The sequence below is a fragment of the Homo sapiens genome, chromosome 5, assembly GCF_000001405.40.
Source record: "Homo sapiens chromosome 5, GRCh38.p14 Primary Assembly".
NCBI lineage: Eukaryota > Metazoa > Chordata > Mammalia > Primates > Hominidae > Homo > Homo sapiens.
Window position 1 is genome coordinate 62,896,030 of NC_000005.10, and position 27,804 is coordinate 62,923,833.

The window sequence follows — 27,804 nt, forward strand, 5'->3', positions numbered from 1 at the left end:
CATTTTTTGTTGATGTTAATGTTATTGCTTTCTGTTTGTTTGTCTTTCTTCTAACAATCAGGTCCCTCTTCTGCAGGTTTGTGGCAGTTTGCTGGAGGTCCACTGCACCCTATTTTCTTAGCCACCAGCCAAGGCCATGGAACAGCAAAGATTGCTGCCTGCTCTTTCGTCTGGGAGGTTCCTTCCAGTGGGGCACTAATCTGCTGCCAGCTGGAGCTCCCCTGTATGAGGTGTCTGTCAGTCCCCATTGGGAGGTCTCTCCAGGTCAGGAGGCATGGGGGTTAGGGACCCACTTGAGGAGGCAGTCTGTCTCTTAGCAGAGCTCCAGTGCTGTGCTGGGGGAACCCTCCTTGTCAGGATCTGCTGCTCTCTTCAGAGCTAGCAGGCAGGGACGTTTAAGTCTGCTGAAGCTGCGCCTTCCCCCAGGTGATCTGTCCCAGGGAGATGGGAGTGTTATCTATAAGCCCCTGACTGGGGCTGCTGCCTTTCTTTCAGAGATGCCCTGCCTAGAGAGAAGGAATCTAGATAGGCAGTCTGGCCACAGCCACTTTGCCACACTGTGTTGAGTTCCACTCAGTCCAAACTTCCAGGTCTCCTTAGCAGTTTCAGAGGAAAACCACCTACTCAAGCCTCAGTAATGGCGGACGCCCCTCCCCCCATCAAGCTCAATCATCCCAGGTCAACTGCAGACTGTTGTGCTGGCAGTGAGAATTTAAAGCCAGTAGTTCTTAGCTTGCCGGGCTCTGTGGGAATGGGACCCACTGAGCAAGACCACTTGGCTCCCTGGCTTCAGCCCTCTTTCCAGGGGAGTGAACGGTTCTGTCTCGCTGGGGTTCCAGGCACCACTGGGGCATGAAACAAACAAACAAACAAACAAACTCGTGCAGCTAACTTGGTGTCTGCCCAAACAGCTGCCCAGTTTTTTGCTTGAAATCCAGGGCCCCAGTGGTGTAGGCACATGAATCACCTGGTCTCCAGATTGCAAAAACCATGGGGAAAGCATAGTATCTTGGCCAGATAGCACAGTCCCTCACGGCTTCCCTTGGCTGGGAAAGGGAGGCCTCCCTGCTCCTTGCACTTCCCGGGTGAGACAATGCCTCACCATGCTTCTGCTAGCCCTCTGTGGGCTGCACCCACTGCCTAACCAGTCCCAGTGAGATGAACAGAGTACCTCAGTTGGAAATGCAGAAATCACCCTCCTTCTGCATTGGTCTCTCTGGGAGCTGCAGACCAGAGCTGTTCCTATTCAGCCATCTTGCCTCCCTCTTCTGCAGAACTTTTCATGGTCAGCTGTTTGGCTTGATCTTAAGCTTCCTGGCTGTCTAAGCACAAAGGGAAATAGGATCAGTTACAATGCTCAGAATATCCACAGAAACATATCTGTTGCTTAGAAGCAGCATACATTTTTCCTGGCATTAAAACCTGAGGAAAATTTTGGCTCTGAGTTTTCCTAAAGGAGAACCATGTGAAATAGTGACTCATTCTCAACATCACAGCACATTTCAATAATAAGCACAATAGAAATTTGCAAATGGTGGTTTATTAGCCCACCAGCCAAGTTAATAATGCCAAAGTGAAATTCTGAAAATAAACATCTGCAAGGACCATAGTGGTAAGTCCAAGGGCCCAAGTGCCTATTTCTCTGGCTTAAGCTGGAGCTAGAAATTCACCTGTAGTCTGGGAGATGATCTGTCTTAAATTACAAGCTCCTAAAGGAAAGAGTAGTTGTGAGATGCTTTGCTGCTTTACTTAACCTTAAGTGCTTATGGCAGTTTAATCACCTGTCCGCCTTATGCCAGTGATTGCTCTCTCTCCCTCTCTCTCTCTCTCTGTGTGTGTGTGTGTGTGTGTGTGTGTGTGTGTGTGTGTGTGGGTGGTGTTTTGTTATTACATGTGTTGGAGTGAGACAGATTGGGGTTTGTCTCTGCTCTGTTACCTAAGTTGTGTTACCTTGGGCAATTTGCTTATCCTCCCTAAGCTTTAGTTTTTATTGTCTGTGGATTTGGGAGAGTAATATCTGCTTCATAAGTTTATTGGGAAAAACAGGTGAGGTAGTATACACAAGCACAAAGCTCTGTGCTCAGGGTAAAGCACTTGTTTAACAGTAGCTATTAAGGTGATGAAACTACTGTAATATTGGTAAAAATGTTACTGGCTTTTAAATTGCAGAGGGAGTCTCCCTTTTCCCTTTATGATTTTAATAACATCAAAAACTTTTATTATGCTAGTAAATTTTGCTAGATTCTATTCCTACTAGGAATTCAGTATAGCACTTATAATGCTTTATTTAATTTTGAATAATTTTTAAATATAATCCTAAAGCTTTTTTGGCTACTAGCCAAGACAAACACATGAGCATCCCAGATTTATAAAAGAAAATGCAAAACAAAATGAAACAAAACAAAAGCAGTTTAGCCTCACCAGGCTTTCCCAAGACTCTAGGCTAGTATCCGATAGGAAAATAGCATACATAGCTTAAAGAAATATACTGGAGAGTTGTACGGCTGTATGTCTAATTTTAATTAAAATTAAGAATTTCAGAAGGAGTGCTTTAGTTAATGCTCTTGGTTAATAGACAAGTGCTAATTTGCATATCTGGACAATGCATATTGAAAGCAGGTGATAAAGGCTTGTAATATTAAGGCTTAGAAAACAAATTGCTGGCTGACCTAGGACTGCATGTTCAACGTGTGTCAAGTCCACATGTCCATGTGCCTCCCAAAATGGCCTATACCTCTTTAAATGCTCATGGGTATAAATGTGTGCTCTTGATATTTTTCTTACCTTGAGGTCTTTCTTTTCTTTTCTCTTACATTATAGGTCTTTTGGGCAGCTTCCCTCAGGTTTGGTGACTCAAGGGCCAACTGAGCCTCTGACCCCACTCCAAGTCAATTCTCCGGGGACAATTTCCTCAGTAGACACAGAGAGATGTGGTTGAGCATTACAAATCTTTTGTTGAGTTTCACTGGAAATAGGAACGATTTGAATTCCAACAACTATTTATTAAAAATCAGATCTCTGTGAATTAGAGCATGTAGTTACGATCTGAATGTTGCCTGAATGGCAGGTGGCATTGCATAGGGTCACACTGTCCCAGGCTTATTACATAGTTCAGTTTGGATGGTGGACTAGAGAACATCTCATTAAGTGTGCAAATTAGATGATGTTAAGTGGCTTGAGTATATGGGAGAAAAAGATTGAATTTTAAAGTAATCTTACAGAATGAATCACACATAAATAGAGGAAGGTTAGACATGATTATGCATTTAGTATAAGCAGAGAGAGAGAGGGAGAGACAGAGACAGAGACAGAGTGAGCGAGAGCAGCAGACTGGGATGATGATACCCACTGTGTCTAGTGAAGCCTGATGCAGAGTAATTGTTAAATAGACATTGGTTTAATTGGATTAACCCAATAAAGATTCACTCAGAAAAGACTGCTCTTCCATTAACCTGGTTCATGAAGGCATCCAAAGTTATGACTCTATGTAAACTTTGTAATTTTACAGCTATCTTCAGTGCCAGTTGCTTTAGTTGCTAAAAACAAAAGCAAAATCACCTCCTCCTCCAAAAGCCCTCACGGTGCAACAAAGAAGCAAAAGTTCGTGTACTTTTTAGTCCTTTTATTTCCTCTTACTTCTATCCTGAAAATGCAGTTGAAGCTATAAGAGATGCTGATATAACTTTTAATTTAGATTTGGAGACTGATTGTACAGGGCCTACTTCCCATTTCTTGTTTACAAAAAATCCCCTTCACCGACAGGAAAATATTGAGTCCTCTTAGTAATTCTGGACCACACTCTCTCCTCTTACTGTGAACACAGTTGGGGTAGACACAACCATTAGAATTATTGATATGCAATCTTGCTCAGGAATGAAGAGGATGGTGAAGAATCACAATTTATTGTCAGAAGGCTGAGTGTAGGTCAAAGGGCATCTTTTTCACAGGGACCCTTGGCAGACAACCAGAGAAGGTCCATCTGTTTAAAGGAGTGGTGTGCTTTGTCCCTCTCTGGAATATTCCAGTTCATATTCCTATCAAGTACTGGAAGTTTCTTTGCTGTGTGGCCTCTGTACACTGTCTCAAGCAGTTCTTTCCATTAGTCAGACTAAATTTAGAGGAAAATGACATTTGAAACAATTTATCATTATCTTTAATAGATGAGGTAAAATTAGTGTTTTGCTTTTCTCTTTCACTTATCTTTACTATTTGCTTTATTGTAAAGTCTACTTTGAACTCTGGAGCCCTGAAAGCCAAATTTCTGGGGGAAAGTAACCCAGGATTAAATACAGATTGACACTTGTCCCTTCTTGCTCGTGTGATTTTGGGCTGCTTCCCCCTCTGTAAAATTAATACAATGACACTTGCTTCCCAGGACTGAAATACTGATTACATGCTTTGATCCATGTAAAGCTTTTAGGATGGTATAGGAAAAGTAGCAAGGGCTGAATAAATGGCACTCATTATTATTATTTAGTAATGGGTTAATCTAGCCAGCAAGATTATCCCATTAGAATTATAGTCATAGTGAAGATAGTCATATTAAAATATTATCAAATTTGAGACTTGCTGACTTTTGAGAAACCACCCATTTAGTTTTCTTGTATGTAGTGATACATTGTTTATCACAAGAAATTTAAAATCTATGCAGACAATACCACATTTTGATTTGCAGTTTTACTTAGGGAACAGGAATGAGTTAAGGCTTTTAGGAGGACAGGATGAAGTGGTATCTACTCAGACCACTAAAACAGCATTCCCATTCTGTGCTTCACAGACACTGGTATTTTATCACTTGCTAAGAAGCATAGCAGGAGAAAGGGTTCTGCAGTCAAATACATTCAGGCAATTTCTGTCATTGCAATAACTGGATGGATTTTGCCTTGGGCTGCTCAAGTGAAAAACCTAGGAATCTTTTAAATCCCTTTTGCCCTTGCCCCACAGTATCCATTTCACCAACAAGTCTTCTCTCTCTGCTTCCAAGTTACACCCTCTGCACATCCACATCTTCTTGGCTATGCCTTCTTACAGCGTATTCTAGGCTACCAAGAAACCTACCTGCCAGCTCCAATGCTTTGTGCTCTCTAGAGCATATCCAGACTGATCTTGGAACAGTTAAATCCCATTATACTTAATTCCCCTGCTCCAATTGCTCCTTGGCTTTCCATTGCACTTAAATCCAAATGCCTTCCTTTTCCCTGCCTGTCTCTGATCTTCTCTCATGTTCCATTCTGCTCCATTAACTCCACTCTGGCTCTGTAGCCCTTAGTTCTGTCCTTGAATATGACAGTCTCACTTCTGGTTTAGTGCATTTGCCTGGTAATCACCTGCCCAGAGAGCTCTCCCTTCAGAGCTCTGTTTTCTAGCCAACTCCTCAGACCACTTACCCTTACATGCTGTATCACATCTCCTTGTTTCATGTTATTTTACTTTTGGAGGCTAAATTATCTTGTCCATTTGTTTGTTACTTCTTCCTAGCCTGCCTGGGGTGTAAGTTTTTGAAAACAGGGATGTTGTTTGACCATCAAGAGCTTGGAACAGTGCCTGGCATTTCACAGGCATGCAAATGTTTACTGTATGAATGAATGAAATACTAGCTAAATAACAGCAGATGCTACACCTTACACAGCCTTAAAACTACTAATGTATGTTAGGAATCTCTGAGTAAATACAGCTATAGGAAGTTGTTTCCCTGCCTTATTTGACCACAGAACACTTTTTTTTGTGTGAAATATCTGTTCATAGGACACTGGTATTTTACTGAATATAATTTGAGAAACATTGTATTATGAATATTGTTGATAAAAGATAGTACTAAGCCTATTTCTGCATACTAGAGTTCATGGTGTGAGGGGTCCAAATTTATTCCTATTTTGAAAAGCCTGCCTTTGGACTGCTGCAGTGCCAGAAATGCATGCTGTTCTCATTCTTTTGCACTAATATATTGAAGCCTCTTATAATAACAATGTGCTATTTTGGAGCAAAATCACATTAAGTTTTCATTGGCCAATCATCTTGGCATGAATTAGTCCTCTTCTGTCTGACCACCTAGCAGAGGCCTGACTCTAAACCATCAGAGCTTTGACAGGTAAACTGTGATAAGAGAGGAGAGGGAGAGGCAGAGCATGGGCTACCCAGGCCTGGAGTAGGCTTGTGGGAACCAGGGAATTGCTGGGAGGATGGAGCCTCTGAAGGAGCAACTCGACAGAAGGAGTAGGGAAGGGAAGGTATGGGAGGGCTGTAGAGACCAACTCCCACTGCAGTTTTGAGCTGTCATTATTCCAGGAGTCCGGTTCCTGTAAGACTTGAGTTTTCTATTAGAAATGTGCTTAGCTTTCTGGAAATCTTCCACCTAGACAGCCATTTTAGGAAAAGTAGCCAAGTGGTGTTGAGGGCCAGCCTCCTGTTTTTGATTTAAAGATATATTGAATAGTAGTTCTTGAGGTCTTTTCCCCCAAACTCTAGTTTGCAAGCAATAGAAACAAAAATGGCAAAATAACATTTGTGTTCACTAGATTTTTTAAAGATAAGCCTGTTAGCCATAAAGTAAATCACCATTTTGCTTTCTGTATAATCATATTTTTAGATGAAACTTGCAAAATGAAAACTTGGGGACAATTTTAAAATTTTAAATAAGGAAGAATATCTTGGGCACTATGACTGTAAGATGATTTGAAGTGCTATAAAAATGTTCCTAGATGTTCAATTAAATGCTTTTCTTAGACCTTGCAGAAGTTGTTAAACATCACACGTTAAACAAACGTTATTTCTTTCATTGTATATTTCACCTTCAAATGACGTGTGTGTGTGAGTGTGTGTATGATAAATATAATGTGTTTATTTTAAACCCTAAAGCAATTCTAGAAAAGTGAATGTCAGGTGGAAATTTGTTTTTCAAAATTCTTAGAATGCCTACATAGAATACTTTATTAGATGGCTACTTTAATTTTTTTTTTTTTTTTTGAGACAGAGTCTCACACTGTGGCCCAGGCTGGAGTGCAGTGGCCTGATCTCTGCTTTCATCCATTGGTGTGATCTCTGCTCACTGCAACCTCCGCCTCCCGGGTTTAAGCGATTCTCCTGCCTCAGCCTCCAGAGTAGCTGAGATTACAGGTGCCCACCACTGCGATTGGCTAATTTTTTGTATTTTTAGTGGAGACGGGGTTTCACTATGTTGACCAGGCTGGTCTCGAACTCCTGACATCATGATCCGCCAGCCTTAGCCTCCCAAAGTGCTGGGATTACAGGCGTGAGCCACCGCACCCAGAGCTCCAGAATATTTCATTTGAAAAATGTTTCTTCTGGTTTCAAACAGTTTAATAACCATAATCTATTTAGGAAATCTTCTAGTAAAAAGGAAAGAATACCAAAATGTTACTGAACTGATTTCTAATCAACAAAACTTAAAAAAAAGTAATTATTAATTATTACTGTTCCTGTTGATTTTTCTGTTAGAATTGTGCTTAGCTTTCTGGAACTCTTCCACCTAGACAGCCATTTTAGAAAGAGTAGCCAAGGGTGTTGAGGGCCAGCCTCCTGTTTTTGATTTAAAGATATATTGAATAGTGGTTGTTGAGGTCTTTTCCCCCAAACTTAATAATTATTAATTGTTAAGAATGTTTTTAAGTTTTGTTGATCAGAAATCAATTTAGTAACATTTTAGTATTCTTTCCTCTTTACTAGAAGATTTCCTAAATAGATTCTGGTTTTTAAACTGTTTGAAATCAGCAGAAACACTTTTCAAATGGAATATCCTGGAGCTCCAATATATAGAACAAATATCCTGACTTGCATGCTCATAAATTATGTGAATTTTAGAAAAATTTCTTAACATTTTTTACTCTATTTATTCTTCTACAAAGTGGAGATAACAATATTTATTTTATGGACTTGTTGCAAGGACTAAATTATATAATCTGTGGGTTATCATGTGCTCAGTGCATGACATAAAACAGATCCTCAACAAATGCCCATTTTTTTTCCCTACATTTCTTCTTCGCTGTCCTTCTCTTTGCTCCAGTCATACCCACTGAGTTCCTACTATGTGCCTAGCACTTGCTAGATACTAGGGATAGCAACAGTGAACAAGGCCTGGTTCCTGACCTCAGTCTGGTTAGAGAGGCCCTTTTCATTACACATCTTTACTGTGGCTTGAAGCTTGATGATATGACTTATCATCTTATAACGATGGAGATAATAGAGGAATATCAATATAAGTTCACATATAGTAGCCAGGGTTCCAAAGTCAAGTTAAAAATCACTCGAGGTAGACAAGTGATTTTGTGGGAGATTAATAAGTGTTTGGTACCCAGGATTCCAAAGTCAAGTTAGAAAACATTAGGGCAGACCAAATTAAGCTGGTTTCTTCACAGCATGACTTCTCAGATCTTCTCTCTTGGGAATGTGCAATATGACTTTCTAAGGAAATTTCTGGCACTTCTGTGCACATATTAGGGGCTCAACAAATATTCGTTTATTCAAATCAGTGGTACACATATTTTGTGGGACTTTATAGAGAAGAAAAGGAAATTTCCAGCAGAGGCTACCATTCTCCTGTTGGCTGTACTTCCTTTCCCTGTGTGGGATTCACATTGGACATAAAAATTTTCTACTTTCAATAAGTAGAAAAGGGGGTGAAGAGGGCACTCAAGGAAGGAGAAGGAGAATGTGATAAGTTCTACTTCGTTGTGGAGTAAACAGTAAACAACTGTTTTTCTATGGAGGATTATGAATTATAGTAATTGAATAAAAGTTAGAATAAGAAGAAAGTAGCATTCATGCAGTGCTTGAAAAGCTGAATAAAGTATCAGTGAAGATGTTTTATAAGATTGTTCACTTTTCCACTGAGAATTTTGTAATAATTTTGGATTTCATGCCTGTTATTTCAACCCTGTGAAATGGTTAGGGCATTTTGTATAGTTGCATGATTCTAAAGCTCTTCCAAAGCAAGATAAGTAAAATGATAAGACCCTTTTTTAAAAAAAAAAAAAAAAATCTGAAGTCACTAACATTTTAGAATGAAACAGAAGCTGGTGAAAATGTAAACGTGTTTAGAAGTAATTTTATGTGTGTATGATAAAGTTGTTTACTGTTCCTCAAACAATATACCATATACCTAATTCTTACCATCTTCCCTTGTATATTAGTCTGTTTTCACACTGCTATAAAGAAATACTACCTAAGACTGACAATTTATAAAGAAAAGAGGTTTAATTGACTCAGTTTCGCATGGTGGGAGGCCTTAGGAAACATAATCATGGTGGAAGGGGAAGGAAGGCATGTCTTATGTGGTGGAAGGAGAGAGAGAAGGAAAACTGCCACTTATCAGATCTTGTGAGAACTCCCTCACTATCATGAGAACAGCATGGGGTTCTCCCCACCCCGCCATGATCAAATCACCTCCCACCTGGTCCCTTCCCTGAATTGTGGGTATTACAATTCGAGATGAGAATTGGGTGGGGACACAGAGTCAATCCATATCACCTACCTTCTTTTAATCCTCCTATTCCAGATATTTGTGCTAGGAATCCCACTGCCCTGATCCTGCCTCATGTTGTCCTCACCCTGACCACCTGGGGTCTTACTTCTCCCCATTTCCTTTCCATCTGTTTGCATGGACCACTATATTGGCTTTCCTGATGTTTGGGCTTGCACCGGAAAAGTATCTGTTCTAGATCCCATATTCCTTCTATCCTTGCTAGAGGTACTAACTCATCAGTCTACTAAACTGGTACTCGTAGGAGAAGCTTAAAGAAGAGCTGAAAGACTCTCCTTCAGGTTCCCCAAAATTCTGTAAATTTTACTAGGATCTTTCTGAAGGCCAAATTCCATCTTTATGGATTGAATCCCAGTGTTCCTGAACCTGTCAATCACAAAGACCTCTTATAATTTTTTCCCACAATTTTATAAGATTTTTGTCTACTAAACAAACACAACCAACGATATATTTTTCCTATTAATTAGAGTTTCTGTTTAGCTTGAAGTAAGTATCAGCACACTGAGTTCTACAACTAAAATCACAAGAAAAGAAACTTGATGTGCACGTGTATTTCAGACAAATGTAGGATATATAAAGAGACCTTTGATATTAGAAAAAAGCTCTAGTACCCTAATTAGGAAAATCATTTAAACTAAATGAAGATTTAGTGAAAGATTTCAGGAGGCGGTATTATCTCTGGCTTGTTGGGAGATTTTGAAGAGCAATAGGATTTGATGCACCCTCAATTCATATTATATTAGCAGTTGCCAGTAGCTATTAGCTATTTCCCTTACTCTCATGAATATTTACACAACATATGTGTGAAAATTTCTCCTTTGTAGATGTATAGTTGGGGGAGGGGATTTCTGAAATGCAACTTTGCACTGATAATTTGTAGTATGAACTTAATGGTCATTCTTCTCCAAAGTTAGCAAATAATTGAGGGTAATCTTAAGCTAGTACCACAGAGGTTCCAAAAAATATACTAAATGTCAAGGATTTAGTGATTAAGAAAAGACAAATGCCAGGTCTTCCCTTACTACCATTCTCACTAGAAGATGGTTTTATCAGCTGATCTTCCCAGGAGGTGAAATCCTTTAACTACACAAGCTATATTTATTCTTGAGAACTGACCTTTTTATTTATGGCAATTTGAAGAAATAAAGGACTTCAATTCTTCATCGTGTTTAAGGAGAGCCACAGTAGAGATTCTGTACTAGCAGAGGAGAGAACAAACTGGAAAATCAGTCAGGAGCTGAAGTGGAGGAGTAAGTGTCTGTGACAGCACCTGAGAATTAATGTTGAGAGAGAAAAATGAAGATCTTGCAAATCTATACTTGCTGTCAGATTCTGCAAATGAAATCATATTAACACTAAAGCAAATTGTGTGGTTTTTGGACTTCGACAAAAAGAGAAGAGGAAATGTTAAGGCTTAAGGGAGAAAAAATCAAATTCTTTCTATGAAATACAATAGTAAGGTAGAGAGTGGGAGAAAAAAAATCGCTGGAAAAGGCCAGAGAGTAAACTTTACATATTTGGTAACCAGGATAATAGATGTAAAGGGAGTCATTGTTGAAGAAGAAATAAATGATTCTATACATTTTTTTAAAAAAATGAATTGGAACCAACAAGTTTCATTTAAAAAAAGCACTTGGTATTAGAGTAGTTTTAAATTTATGGAAGCATTGCAAAGATAGTGCAGAGTTCTTATATAATCCACACCTAGTTTCCTCAACTGTTAACATCTTACATTAGTATATACATTTATCACAATTAGTGAACCAATACTGACACATTATTATTAACTGAAGTCCGTGCTTTATTCAGATTTTCTAAGTTTTTTCCTGATGTCTTTTTTTTTTTTCATTCTAGGATCCCATCCAGGATACCACAGAGCATTTAGTTGTCCATGTCCCTTAAGCTCCTCTTGGTTGTGATAGTTTCTCTGACTTCTTTTGTTTCTGATGACCTTGACAGTTTCGAGGAGTACTAGTCAGGTATTTTCTAGAATATTCCTTAGCTGGGATTTGTCTAATGTTTTTCTTATGATTACACTAGGTTATGAATTTTTGGGAGGAAAGCCACAGAGATAAAGTGCCATTCTCATCCCATCATGTCACAGGTGCATACTACCAATATGACCTATCACCGTTGATGATGTAAACTTCGGTCACCTGGCAGAGTTACTGTGTCTGTTAAGTTCACTGTAAAGTTATTCTTTTACCCCTCACCCCATACTCTTTGGAAAGAAGTCACTATACGCAGCCCACACTTAAGAAGTAGTGAGTTATGTTCTACCACCTTGAGGGCAGAGTATCTATATAAATTATTTGGAATTCTTCTACAGAGATATATTTATTCTCCTCTAATTATTTATTCAATCATTTATGTATAGCAATATGGACTCATGGATATTTATTTTATACTTTGGGTTATACATCAATACTTCTTTATTTATTTTGTTGCCCAAATTATTCCAGGTTTGGCCATTGGGAACTCATTCACTTGGCTCCTGTGTCTCTTTGACAAACACATTTTTGTGGTTAAAAACTTTTTTTTTGAGAACTTTTTACTTGTGACACCACAAGATGCTCCAGGCTCATCTTCTGTGTTTCCTGCCTCAGTCTTAGAATCAGCCATTTCTCCAAAGAGCTCTAATTCCCTTTATTGGAGAATAATATTTTAAACCAAGATCTGGGCACTATATGCTGCCAGCAGGGTTTTAATGGTTTAAGGGAAGATGTATAGTGAAGCCTCATAACTTTATTCAGGAGTGAAATAATCTGCTTTTCCTTAAACAAATATAATTTTTTTTCTTTTAAAATGTTAGTGTAGACTGCAACTTTTAGAAAAACAATCTCCAAATAATGGATAAAACCAGGGTTGGCAATTTTTTTTTCTGTAAAGAATGAGATAGTAAGTATTTTAGGTTTTGTGGACAACTCTGTCTCTACTCTGCCACTGCAGTGCAAAAGCAGTCATAGGCAATATGTAAATGAATAGAAGTTGCTATCTTCTAATCAAATTTTATTTACAAAAAAAACCAGGCTGGATTTGGTCCATGAGGCCATAGTTGTCAACCTTTGAATAAGACCAATGAAAATCAAACAAAAAATATTTATTGGGCACTTACAAGGTGTAAGGAATATACTAAAAGTAGATGTGGCAAATAAAAATAACAGAAAATGAAACATAAAAACGGAAAGATTCAGAGATTAGGTGAATGACCTAAAGTGACTTGACTCTGGTCCCTTTCTTCCTCTTTAGAGGGAGGATTAGATGAATATCTCTGAGCCACTTATCAGCTCGAAATTCTACGGTCAAATAATTCACCCTCATTACTTACAGACAAGTGGAAATAGAATGTACGTGTAATAATAGCTTTATACTTTTTTTTCTCCCAGATTGAGACTATTGACAACATTTGTTTTTGAGTTATCCTGTGCACAAAGCTATTTGATTTGGTTCTATGATAACTTGATTGGATATTCTCTTCACTACTAGGGCAAGAATTTTTAACCTGGATTCACTGGGTCTCCAGGAGGTTAATGTTTCGAATTTTGTATGACAATGAGGAGTTTTCTACAAACATGAAATCAAATGCAAAATTTTGTGTGCCTATGTGCATCATCTGGGTAAGTATTCTATAATTTTCACTAGCTTCCTAAAGAAGTGTGATCCATGTATGAGTTAGGAATAGGTTTGTTTACATATAATAGAAAACCTAAAATAATGGTAGCTTAAACAAGAAAGAGGCTTATTTTTCTTTCATGTAACAGAGGTAGGCAGTTGAAGCCTCCTATGGTGGCTCCTTAGTATCTTCATGGATTCAAGCTGCTGAGATCCTTAGCATATGGTTATCATATTCAAGGTCACTTCAGGGTCAGTATGAGTGCTCCATCATCACACCCACAACTAGACAGTAGAAGGGGGATGAGGGAAAGTCTAAAAAGGTGTATCTCCCAACTAAGTCAGCTCCCTTTAAGGAGCCTTCACAGACATTCCACAGAATCCTCCATGTGAGTATCATTGACTAATACTGGCTGCAAAGGAATGTGGGAAATGTACCTGTAAACTGGACACATTGATACTCTGAATAAATGAAGGGTTCAGTTAAGTGAGGGAGGGATGCATATTGGATGGTCGTGTAGTAGTCTCTGCTTTTACTTTAAAATTCTGAAGGCTAAATTCTATGCTGTTACTCTGAGGCAGAAAACATTTAATTGAATGGTATGGGAGCACATTGTGCTTAGCAAAGAGTTATTCATTTACCCATTTACTATTGAGTAATATTGGGCTATTTATGGAAATAAACTGCACCAACACCTTTAATGTTCTATTTGGAATCTGTATTCATTTCCTATTGCTGCTGTAACAATTTACCACAAACTTAATGGCTTATAATAGCATTAATTTATTCTTTTACATTTCCAGTTTCACTGGGCTAAAGTCAAGGTATTTGTAGGGCTAGTTCCCTCTGGAGTCTTAGGGGAGAATTTATTTCCTTGCCTCTTTCAGTTTATAGTGCCCACCTGTATTCCTTTGCTTGTGGCTCCTTCTTCCATCTTTAAAGTCCATCACTCCAAATTCTGCTTCTGTCATTACATTGCCTTTTCCTCTGACTCTGATTGCTTTTGCATTCTTATAAATACTGTTGTGATTACATATGGTCCACCTAGCTAGCACAGGAGAATATCCCTATCTCAAGATCTTTAACTTAATTATACCTGCAAATTCCTTTTTGCCATAAACCTTTTGTTTCTGTAGTATAATATCCCCCCAATATTCCCATGCCCTATTCCCAAGATTTTGAGGCATATTTGGGGGGATATGATATCACAGAAACCATCCTTTTGGGGTATCATACCTGTCACAAATCTGTTAATCATTTAGCCCCCACCACTTTTGGCTACAGAAGTTTCTATTTAATCAATAGATGCTTGTGGTTGAATTGAATTGTTGAAATGGGCATACAGGAAGCAGGTCTTTCAATTTCTGCTCAGGGAGAATTAAATTCATTCGTTCATAATTCAACACATGTTTATTTATTCAGCACCTGTTATGTGTTAGGCACTGTTTTATCCTTCTTCCCTTCCAAAATTACTTCTTCTGTAGTAAACGGAGATACAGTTGATTCAATTTTCTTATTTTATTTTTAGATTCAGTGGGTACACGTAGAGGTTTGTTACATGGGTATATTGCATAATGCTGAGGTTTGGACTTCTAGTGAGTCCATGACTTAAATAGAGAACATAGTACCCAATAGGTAGTTTTTCAACCCTCATCCCCACCTAACCTCCCTGCTTTTGTACTCCCCAGTGCTTAATATTTCCCTCTTTATGTCCATGTATACCCACTGTTTAGCTCCCACTTGTAAGTGAGAACATGTGGTATTTGATTTTCTATTTCTATCCGTAGTGAGTTATTTCACTTAGGATAATGACCTCCAGCTCCATCCATGTTGCTGTGATGAAAATGAATTTATTCTTTTTTATGGCTGCATAATATTCCATGGTCTGTATATATACACCAAATTTTCTTTATCCAGTCCATCATCAATGGACACTTAGGCTGATTTCATGAATTTGCTATTGTGAATAGTGCTGCAATACACACACAAGTGCAAGTGTCTTTTTGATAGAATGATTTTTTTCCTTTGGGTAGATATCCAGTGGTGGGACTGCTGAGTCATTATGATGCTTCTATTTTTAGTTCTTTGAGAAGTCTCCATACTGTTTTCCATAGAGGTTGAACTAATTTACATTCCCATCAATGGTGTATAAGCATTGCCTTTTCTCTGCATCCTTGCCAACATCTGCTATTAAATATTTTTTCACTCTTTAATATAGCCATTCTGACTAGTGTGAGATGGTATCTCATTGTGGTTTTGATTTGCATTTCTCTGATGATTAGTGATGTTGAACATTTTTTCATATGTTTATTGGCTGCCTTTAGGTCTTCTTTTGAGAAGTATCTGTTGGTGTCTTTTGTGCACTTTTTAAAGGAATTATTATTATTTTTATTATTATTTTCATGGATTTAAGTTTCTTATAGATTCTGAATATTAGTTTCAAATGCATTGTTTGCAAATATTTTCTGCCATTCTGTAGGTTGTCTTTTTGTTCTGTTGATTATTTATTTTGCTGTGCAGAAGCTCTTTAGTTTAATTAAGTCCCATTTGTCTATTTTTGTTTTTGTTGCATTTGTTTTTGAGGTATTAGTCATAAATTCTTTGTCTAAGACAATATCCAGAAGAATACTTCTTAGGTTTTCTTCTAGAATTATTATAGTTTGAAGTATTATATTTAAGTTTTTAATCCATCTTGAGTTAATTTTTTATATGGTGACAGGTAAGAGTCCAGTTTCATTCTTCTGCACATGGCTAGCCAGTTTTCCCAGTACAGTTTATTGACTAGAGTGTCCTTTCCCCATTGTTTATCTTTATCTACTTCATCAAAGATCAGTTGGTTGTAGGTATGTGGTTTTATTTATGGTTTCTTTATTCTGTTCCATTGATCTATGTGTCTATTTCTATATCAGTACAATGTTGTTTGGGTTTCTATAGCCTTGTAGTATAGTTTGTAGTATAGTTTGAAGTCAGGCAATGTGATGCCTCTGGCTTTTTTCTTTTTACTTAAGATTGCTTTAGCTATTCAGGTTCTGTTTCTGGTTTCATATGAATTTTAGAACTGTTTTTTCTAATTCTGTGAAAAATGATGTTGGTAATTTGATAGGAATTGTGTTGAATCTGGGATTGCTTTGGGTAATATAGTCATTTTAGCAATATTGATTCTTCCTATCCATGAACGTAAGATGTTTTTCCATGGTAGTGTCATCTGTGATTTTTTCATCAGTGTTTTGTAGTTCATTTTGTAGAGAACTTTTAATTCTTTGATTAGACGTATTCCTAAGATTTTATTTTTTGTGTGTGGCTATTATAGATGGCATTGCATTCTTGATTTGATTCTCTGCTTAAACGTTGGTGTATAGAAACACAACTGATTTTTGTGCATGAATTTTGTATCCTGAAACTTTTCTGAATTATCTACCAGGTCTAGGAGTCTTTTGGAGGAATCTTTAGGGTTTTCTAAGTATGGGATTGTGTCATCAGTGAACACAGATAATTGGACTTCCTCTTTTTCTATTTGGATATCTATTATTTCTTTATCATGCCTGATTGCTTTGGCTAGGACTTACAGTACTCTGTTGAATAGGAGTGGCAAGCGTGGATCAGCATCCTTGCCTTGTTCCAGTTCTTAAGAAGAATGCTTTTAACTTTCCCCTATTCGGTATGATGTTGGCTGTGGGTTTGCCATAGAAGGTTCTTAATATTTTGAGGTGTCTTCCTTCCATGCCTAGTTTCTTGAGGGTTTTTATCATGAAGGGATGTTGGATTTTATTGAGTGCTTTTTCTGCATCTGTTGAGATAAGATGATTATATGGTTTTTGTTTTTAATTCTGTTTATGTGGTGTTGATTCAATTTTCTACATCTGAAACCTGAGACTCATAAATTTTCTCTCACATCACACTTAATCAATTCCCAAATTGTGTTGACCCAGCCTCCAAAATAATCTGTCCACTTGTCTCCATTTCTTATGCTATGACCCAAGTCCAAGCCACATTTTTCCTCTTTTAGATTCTGCAATGTCTTTTAGACGCTGCAGATGTTTCTCTGCACCTGTTCCGAGCTCCCTCCATTTCATTCTCCACCACGCAGTGATCTTTTAAAAATGCAAATCTAATTATATCAGTTTTTTTGTTTAAAACGTTTCCATAGATTTCTGTTGCTTTTAGAACAAAGGGAAAACTTCTTATTAGCAGCTGTCTTAAGGGGCCCTCTGCTTACTTTTCCAGCCTCATCTAACTATGGTGCCTCTTCAGTCCTCAAACATCCTAAAAAGATCTCTTCTTCCTTAATGCCTTTCTATGTGCTGCTTCATCTGTCTGGACTACTTCTTTCTCTGATTAATGCCTTGCTTGGTTTACTTTGGTGGGAAGACTTCTTTTTTTTTTTTTTTTTTTTTGAGACAGAGTCTCGCTCGTTGCCCGGGCTGGAGTGCAGTGGTGCAATCTCCGCTTACTGCAAACTCTGCCTCCTGGGTTCACGCCATTCTCCTGCCTCAGCCTCCCGAGTAGCTGGGACTACGGGCGCCCGCCACCACGCCCAGCTAATTTTTTGTATTTTTAGTAGAGATGGGGTTTCACCGTGTTAGCCAGCATGGTCTCGATCTCCTGACCTCGTGATCCGCCTGCCTCGGCCTCCCAAAGTGCTGGGATTACAGGGGTGAGCCACTGTGCCCAGCCAGGGAAGCCTTCTTTAACCCTTCAGACCAAATTAGATCTAGGGAGATCTAAGAAATGTATTCTTTCATTGCAACTTTTTTTTTCATTGTACATTTTAGAACCATATGGAAATAATTAATAGTACAACTTTGGGTGTAACGTCTGTCTTTCCCACTAGATTAAAAATCGTTTGAGGATGGAAAGAGTATTTTATCAACATATCTCCAGTGCCTTGAATCATGCTTCTCACATACTAGGGGCTCAGCAAGCAGTTGCTTAATCGGTGATGGGAAAAAACTCCAGGGTATCTTCAAAACCTAAGTGGAACAATGAAAAGCAATACTCAGCTATTTTGTATTCTTATGAACCTTCTGTCTACTGTCTATTAATTGTGCACATAAGCTTATAGAGAACAATGAAACATTTTCATTTCTGAAGATAGTATTGCTGTTTGATGAGTGGTTCTCAAACTTTAATGTGTATTAGAGTCACCTGTGTCACCTGCCTGGTTTGTTAAAATACAATTGCTTGATCCCACCCTCAAAGTTTCTGATTCAGTAGGTCTGGGCTGGGGCATGAGACTTTTCAGGTCTCAATAGTTCAACAGTGATGCTTCTGCTACTGGTCTGAGGATCATACTTTGAGAAACACTGGCATAGACTGTCAGCTGCCAAGCAGCTTGACAGGCAATTCCATCTTTCTCGTTGGAAGGATATATTTTGCTCTCTTCAATCGGTTGAACTCACTGGAGATTGTGCACTGGCTAAGGGTATATCTTAGTGTAGACAGTGAGTGACCTGCTACTAGCTATCTCCTCCTTATCTTCATCCTCTCTCTGAAGAAAGGGGTCAATGGCAATGGAAACTGACTTAGATATCTGCCCAGTAGAGATTTGGTACTGAGAAATCCACTGTTGGGGGCTTCAATTTAACTTGCAGTTGTGTTAAGATCAGTTCAAACATGTGTATGTTGCTGAATATATACACAAATTGGCATTGATAACCTGCATTTTACCTCATCTTTGAAAATCTTTAGTAAGAATTTGGCTTGCTCAGTCTAAATGTGTGGGGGTATATGGCTTACAGTTTGATTTTCACTGCACGCAATTGAGTTCTGTGGAGCCACGTTTCACTTGGTAACTGAGCACCCAAATAAAAGTGGTTTTTTTTCCTTCAAACTAAACAGGCAAACAAAACTACCCTTGAGCTAAAAGGAATTGAATGCCTGCAATCTTCAATGCCATGAACCCATTAAAACTCCCACTTGCTATTCCATGTATCCAATCAGTAAGGTGCAAATCAACCATCATACATTTCTCTGCCTGGGAAGCAGTGTGCATTTCTGTGTAATCAGAAGTGTGTTACAAGTGAAACTTAGTCACCTGCTTTTCCAGAGGTGTACTCTCTTAGGAAAGTGAGAGAGAAAAGCAGCTTTAAAAATAGGTCCAACAAAAAAGAAACAGGCATGCAAGTTGGATAGTAATAATAGATTATTAGCTATGCAAGGGAGGGTTGGGGTCAACTGATCCAATCTTGTTATTTTACAGGGGAGAAAGCCTCAGAGAAGCTAAGTCCCCTGCCAAGGTCATTGAACTAAATAGGGCAGACCTGGAATTCGGGACTTCTGTCTTCTAGGCCAGTGCTGTTTTCATGATGCCTTATACTTAATAATTAAACTCTTATACCTGATTTATGTTCAATGTCCTTGGCAAGTCTTGAAATAGATTATACCTCTCTTAGGTTTCATCTCTTCTCCTGGGGAGAAAACATATCCTTTCAGTGGAAAGCAGGGAAGCTTATGGAAATATCATTTTTAACTCCTCAGACAGAATTTGAAAGTCAGATGTTAAGCCGGCATCAGCAAAACCAGGGTCAGGGTATGCAAAGGGGATGCTAGCACTGAAATTGTTTTTGTATCTCACATCCTTAGCTTTATTATTGGGAATCTTTGATTAATGTCCAAATTCAGGATATAGCATCATTTCAACAATTTTATGAAGACTTGTTGGCCACAAAGATGAGAAATTCAGTCTTGCACAACTTAAAGGAGATTATTAAAATAACATAATAATTAGTGTCATATATTCAAAGATAGGGAATGATATACTACCAAGCCTAGGGGATGGAAACTGAAGCATTCTCAGAGGACCCTATAGTCAGTAAGTAAAAAAATTTACTAAGTACCTGTTATAGACCAGGTACTTGGGGACACGAGACCAAAAATCTTAAAGTCATTACCTCAAGGTACCGACATTGCAATAGGCTATTCAGACAGTAAACATGCAAATGAATAAATAGATTATTTTCAGATCCTAATAAGTGCTGTGAAGAAAATAAAATAGGGAAATATGATAGATAGTAGTGGAGGAGGAGTTCTACTTTGGCTAAGATGGTCAGGAAAGGCCTTTCTGAGGAGGTGACATTTGAATTATGAAAGGAAGGCAGGGGAAGGATCCTAGGGAAGACACTTCCAACTGGAAGAAACAATAAGTGCATTTGCCTTCAAACAAAACTGAACTTGAAATGTATGCAGGATGAAAATAAGGGTGGTAGAGTTCAAATGTGAGAATTGAGGAGTAGAGATAAGATCAAGGAAGTGAGCCAAGAACAGATCATGCGGGGCCTTCTACACCTTGCTAAGAGTTTGTATTTTAATTTTAATTTGGACTCAGTGGAAATTCATTAAAGAATGATAAGCATAATAGTAGCCAATTTTGCTGCTATTTGTAGAATGGACTATTGTTTTAAGGCTGTTGCTAAAATTTTCTGGGAGATGATGATGAGGTGGTGGTGAAGAATTGGTGAGGGGCAGTCAAATTCAGGATAAGTTTTGAAATTTGAGCTTGCTGGACTTGCTGATGTGTTAGATATGGAATAATCAGGGAAGGAGAAGAATTAAGGATAACTTGTAAGACTTTTGACCTGAATGACTGAGTGAATATTTGTGCCATTTATTGAAAGGAGGCAGACTAGGAAGGTGTGGAGTGGGGAATCAAAAATTCTTTTTTGGCCATGGTAAAGGTGAGGTAATTGTTAAAGAGCCATGGGAAGATGTTGAATAGGTAGTTGGATATTTGAATGTGGCATTCAGGGACAAATTAAGACTGGCAATGAAAAATTGAGTTGTCAGAATGTGTTTACAGTGTTTAAAACAAAGGTATTGGAGGAGACTATCTAGGAAGAGAATATAGAGATGAGAAGAGAGTCAAAGGCAGAATCCCAGAGGCATAACAGTGGTTAGAAGAAACTGCCAGCAAAGGAGATAAAAGGATAAACTAAAGAAGGTAGGAGGAAGCCTGGAGTCATAAAACTGTGAAAAAGTGATTTCAAGAAGAAATATCAACTCTATCAAATGCTGCTGAGAGGTCAAGTAAGCTGAGGACATTTGCGGTCATTTATGACTATAATAAGAGTTGTTTCTCTTATACAAAAGTCCTCATTGCATTGTGTTGGGAAGACAATTGGAGGCAAGGAAACATCTTTCACCACATATGGTAATATTCATTCTTTTGCCATATCAGGTAATCACCATAGGTTCTAGGGATTAGGATGTAGACATATCTTTTTTTGGGACCACCATCTAACCCACTATGGAAAACTACTTGAAAACTTAAAACTGTTTTTCAGGACTTTCCTCTTTTTATAAATTTCTAAAGGATAAGAATTGGGAGACAAGATACAAATATTAAAGTCAAAATTTGTGTTGAATCATTCTCTGAATAACCATCTCATCAAAAGGATTTGTGGTAATTTAAATTTATTAACTAAGAGTCCTGCTGAGCGCTAGCACTAATTGGCACCCTTTGGGTTACGTGCCAAAAGATGCATTTGAACCAAACCTGTTTTCTTCCTGTTGAACATCTATACAAGAACATACATCTATATGTTCTTCCTGTTGAACATACAGGATGGAACCAACAAATAAGTGTGGAAGAGAAATTGACTATATAGGTATTTTTCCATCTAATCTGGGCTTTATGAGATGTAATCAATTTATTAAAGAAGCAATCTGCTGTTACCTTGCTGTCCTTGTCAATCAAAAAGGGAAAAAAAGTATAAAAATAGAAAGTACCTTCTGGGCTTAGAAGAGGATGAGAAAAAATATTTGTAGCTTTATTAAGGCTGTTAGAGTTATTTCCTTTGTGACGTTGTGTGTTCTTTGTGAAATTCCCTCATTTTGCCCTCTTAGCTTGTGAAAGCAGTTACACTGCTGTCCTTCAGTCAGCCTTTCTTGGTGAAATCTCCCTCTTAGATAGCTGTTCTTGTCAGTGTATTTTCCTCCAGTCATCCAACCCCCAGATCCTGTGCACTAAATTAGAAAAGAGGAATTATTCTAAGTGTTCTGTTAATAACTGTGTCTTCAGGGACGACTAAAAACCCCAGTTTTTTTCCTTTGAGAAGCACTGTCCTCATGTTTACATCTAGTTTGTCTAATTAGACTTTAGATTAAACAGGGGCCTTGTTTATTCTGCAGTCTGTGGAGCATTTAGCAGTGTCTACAATGACTAGATCCACTTCTTTTGCCCCTGTTCTTACCCATGGGAACATGAATGGGCTGTAGGAATTGTAAAAAGGAAGACATAAGCATTCTGGAGGAAGAGTATGGGCGGTTCCTCTTCGGCTTTTTAGCCCATAGAAGAGCTTGTTGGTCATCTGCACCTTCAGAGTGGTGTCTAGACTTGCTGGCCTGCCTCCCATGCAGAGGCAACAGGCAACATCTGCTGCCTTCCTCCTCTCTGGTTAGAGATAGCCATAAACCAGCATGCAATGGAGCCTTTTGAGATGGATTAGAGAGAAGCTTATTGGCTTTCTACAGTGCCAGGTGTAGAGGATCTATTTGATTGAAACAATAGACAGAATTACATTCCCAAAAGCATCCTGAGAGGGCATATGGCTTTAGTGTTTAGGTACATTTCTGAATAAGAACCAGTCTCCAAACTTGAACAGGCTGCTTCTAGATACTGAAGACTGGGTGATAAATGACATTCTCTAGGTATAGCCAATATCCCTTGCTTTAATCTCTTTTCTCCAGCAGAGTATTCCAAAGCATAGTGCTGACTGCCCAACACCTCCCTTTGGAAAGACCTTTCTTATTTGAGAACAATAATTACATCATTCTTTAGCTTTCTTTTTTTCTAGGCAAATTTCTTAATATTCCCTCTTTGGACCTATTTTCTATTTCTTTAGTCATTTCCACAGCTCTTCCCTGAAACTCTGCCTTGTCTCTATGTTCCTGTAAAGGTATGGTGACTGAAACTACCCATAATGTTCTTATACAGGCCTCAATGGGCCTCAGGATAGTATACAGTTTATCTATCGGCTAGATATCACTACTCTCATTTTTTGCTTAAAGTGAATATCAGGGAGAAATAGTTTACTTGTGATGGTTAATTTTGTGTCAACTTGACTGGGCCAAAAGATGCCCAGATATTTGGTGAAATGTTATTTCTGAGTGTGTCTGTAAGGATATTTCTGGATGAGATTAATATTTGAATGTTAGACTGAGTAAAACAGATTGCCCTCCACAATATAGGTGGGCCTCATCCAATCTGTTGAAAGCCTGAATAGAAGAAAAGGCTGACTAACAAAGAATTTTTTTTCTCTGCCTGACCATCTTGAAACTGGGACATCATTCATCTCCTGCTTCTTCAGACTTGGACTCAGACTAGAACCTTACCATCAGCTTTCCTGGGTCTTTAAACATATATTGTTCTATTTAAAGAATAGAAGTAAAAAAACATATATTGTTCTTATTTAAAGAACATGTAGCCAGTGCGGTGGCTCACGCCTGTAATCCCAGCACTTTGGGAGGCCAAGGTGGGCGGATAACTTGAGGTCAGGAGTTTAAGATCAGCCTGGCCAACATGGTGAAGTCCCATCTCTACTAACAATACAAAAATTAGCTGAGTGTGGTGGTGCATGCCTGTAGTCCCAGCTATTCAGGAGGCTGAGGCAGGAGAATTGCTTAAATCTGTGAGGCAGAGGTTGCAGTGAGCCAAGATCCTGCCACTGCACTCCAGTCTGGGCAACAGAGTGAGACTCTGTCTCAAAAAAAGAAAAAAAACAGAATATATATACTCATTCATAGCATTTTATGTGTGTGTGTGTGTATATATACCCACACCTATGTGTATGCATATGTATGTGTGTATATATGTATGTATGTGTGTATATATATCTATATATCTATATCTATATCTATATATCAGCTTTCCTGGTCTTTAAACATATGCTCTATTTAAAGAATATAAGTAAAGAAACATATATTGTTCTTATTTAAAGAATGTATATACTCAATCACAGCATTTTATATGTATCTATATATATACACATACATATATATACACATATGTGTATATGTATATATTTGTATGTGTATATATGTATGCTTCTCTATATATGTATGTATCTATACATATGTATGTATGTAGCTATCAAAGACTTCCTGGGTCACACCAATAGGACACAGGAGTCAACTTCTGGGAGCTCCTACTGGCCAAAGATGGGAATATTTGAGCTTCAAAAAAAAAAAAAAAAAGTTTGCTCTCCAAACACGTTAGTCTCAGAAAAAAAATTGCTGTCATAGATTGAAATAATAAAAATCTATACATTCATAATTGTACTTCAAAAGGAAAAGAGTGTTCCATACTGACATTCTTTGTAGGTTGCTAGAGTACAAACTCATTTCCTCTGAAGAGTAACGATTAAAGGAAAAGAATTAAGTATGTATCCTCTTTTTCCTGTATAGACTGTATTTCATGATAGCCAAATAGATATAAATGTTCTTCTCCCACATCCCCACATCTTGAGTCATAGACCTCCAAGAACACACCTGTAGCTCAGCAAGTCAGGTGTACTACTTGTTGCAGTGAGGGAAAAATGCATGCCATGGAGAACTGTGGGGTATCTCGGTAACAGGGTGTTAAAAAGAACATATATAATTTGGGTTGCAGTTAGATGATATTGGGGATGGTTCAAGAAAGAGGGAATTTGCTGTGGATTGAGTGTCATTAGGAAGGGAGGATAATGCTATGATTGGACATTTTTAATCTTATTTAAGAATGCCATATATGATTGAGTATTCAATAAATCTTGTAGGGCAGGCTAGAGCAAGGCTGAAGCTGTAATTATTACAGAAGAAGCAGTCACTCATATTATTTGGAAAAGAGGGATGTTTGGTATTTTTGTGGTCTGCATAGTGACCTTGTTTTTGCTTATGATTAAACAATATTATGAAATGGTCTTGTTTTTTTAAACCTCACTTCTTCAAAGTCACAAGCTGACCTGATGTTCTGGGAGATTGTTTATGTCCAACAAGAGAACATTGAAGTATAGCTGTGAGTGTCAAGCCAGCCTGCAGCCCTCAGAGTTTAGGAGCTGCTTTTCTGTTTCTCAGTAGGAGAATAGAGTAAAATAAAAGTGAAAGAAATAAAAGATTTGGATAATTCCGTTTTCAACCTCTAAAGAAATAATGGACCTGGCAATCTAGATGCTAAAATCATTAGGTGAAATGTTAATGAGGTATTTTATTATGGATGGTTCAGGCTGATATTACCTGAATCACTGAACAAAGCAAGACCCTGTCTCTCAAAACTAAAAAAAAGAAATATATCATGTTGTTTATAAAAATGATATGGTGGTTACTTTAACATGTTCTTATCTGTTAGAGATGCATTCTAAAGTATTTAGGAATAGAATGATATGATGTCTGGCATTTGCTCCAGAAAAGAGAAAAACATTTGGAAAGTTGATAGATGAAATAAAAACAACAGAAAGTTGCTAGTTCTTAAAGCTGCAGGATGAATCTATGGAGGTTGACCATTCTTTCTACTTCTGGATATATTTGAGAAGTTCCAGAACAAACAGCTTTTTGAAAAGGTGAGCATTGCTTTTGTATCACACCATTTGTTTGATTGTCCTCTCCTCTCATCAGGGCACCACAGCCCGCTATTAAGAATTAAAGAGAATAAGACAGTAACTCATCTCATTTTCCAAGCTCTCAAGCAGAAATAGGCCTATTTCCTGAAGATCTGTTCCATGATTCCCAGATACTGCTTTTGCTCAGTCTCTGTTTAATATGGACTTTATGGGATAGGGCTCCCTAAAATGACAAAGGCTTCTAATGGTTATCAGTTTAAAACTTTATTTTTGCCTCATTCATTTTCTCAAGGTCATGTATCCATTGGAATAGAAAGGCATTTATTGAAAGAATTGAATACATCATAATATGGGCTATAAATAGTTCTTACATGGTGGGAGTCATATTCAACATTTCAAGGTTGAGCTGACAGTTGGTTGACCATAATATTACTTTGAAAATTTCTTTGGAATTAAGCATTTCATAGCATTTTCTAATCAGGAGCAAATTTTCTATAAATGTTCAAATTTTTAGAATCCTTAGGGAGCTGGGATAATAGTCATTGCTTAAAATGTATGAAGACTAAAAGCCAGTCCTAAACAAGTATTGCCTTTCTCTTGTGCTGTGCATTTTCAGTCTCAGTTTTGATCCCAGAGATAGAGGTGAATAACTTTCTTGCCCATTTCCCCTTACTAAACGTGCACTGAACCTTTTCTTTTTACTCATCAGATTGGCATTTTTTATTTCTAATCCTTTTCAGCCGTTCTGACCAACTTAAAGTTTCATAATAATTCAAGGACACTTCCACAATGAAATACTATGTTTGTGCACACACCCGCAGAGTATCTGGAAGCAGAATTCTGTGTTATAGAATGCATGCTGAATAGAGTAATGAACAGCAGTTAGTTTGCTTTCTTGAAGATTGTTCTTTCTCAATTTTGGAAGAGTTTTTTATAAAATAGATAGGGTATTTCTCTGGTCCCTAGACTAATATATAGGGTATTTCTCTGGTCCCTAGACTTCTATGGCATGGTTTTATTTACTTGTTCATCAAAATTTTGTCTAATAAATGTCATGTTGATTTGAAGGTAACCCAGGTCACCACTTTAGATTGGCTTCATTTAAAAAGGGACGTTGATGAGAGGAAATGGAAAATGATTTATTCTGCATAAGAACAAGGTTAATAGCACAGACACTGAAAGTTAAATTCTTAAATCTTTTCCTTTAATTTGGAGGGGCAATTTCTCTTCCTTCTGTTTTTTTCATCTTTTCCAGCCCTGTGTTTTAGGGGGTTCTGACAGAAATAATCAAACAAAGCTGTTTGCTCTCCCAAACAATTTAGCCAAGTGCTCATCTCTGGACTGGTAGGACATCTTTCTCTGCATCATCTTTATGTAAGGAGACCAAATGAAGGAATGATATATGGGGCCTCTTGAGGGCTCAAAGAAAGAATGGCCAGAGCCTGCCCTGAGGGAGGGAGTGAGGAAAGATTTCACAGCAAAGATGATGTTTAAATGGATTGTTAAAGGAAGGGAAAGTACATGCTAGAAAGTGAGAGAGCTATGGGGAGATCTAAAACAGTAAAGTACATTTAGGAATTGCAACTAATTCAGTACTGCTGAAGGATTGTGTGTGTGTGTGTGTGTGTGTGTGTGCGTGCACGTGCGCACCTACGTGTATGTGTGTTGGTGAAGGCAAAGTAGGAATGGCAATGAGTAGAGAGGGTATAACAAGTAATGACGATGGAGATGTAAACAAGGGTAAGATCACAAAGGGCTTTGTGTGTCTCATTAAGAAATAGAGCCAGACATGGTGGCTCACACCTGTAATCCCGGCACTTTATGAGGCCAAGGCAGGTGGGCAGCTTGAACCCAGGAACTCAAGACCAGCCTGGGCAACATGGTGAAATCCCATCCCTAGAAAAAATACAAAAATTAGCTGAGCATGATGGCGGGTGCCTGTGGTCTCAGCTGCTCAGGAGGCTGAAGTGGGAGGATCACATAAGCCTGGGAAATTGAGGTTGTAGTGAGCCATGATATAGCATCACTGCACTTAGGTCTGGATGACAGAGTGAGAACCTGTCTCTAAATGAATGAATGAATGAATGAAATAGAACTTTATCCTGTAGGTGATGGGGAGCCTTTTGGATGCTGACCTCTTAATATTAGCCTATATCTGTCATGGG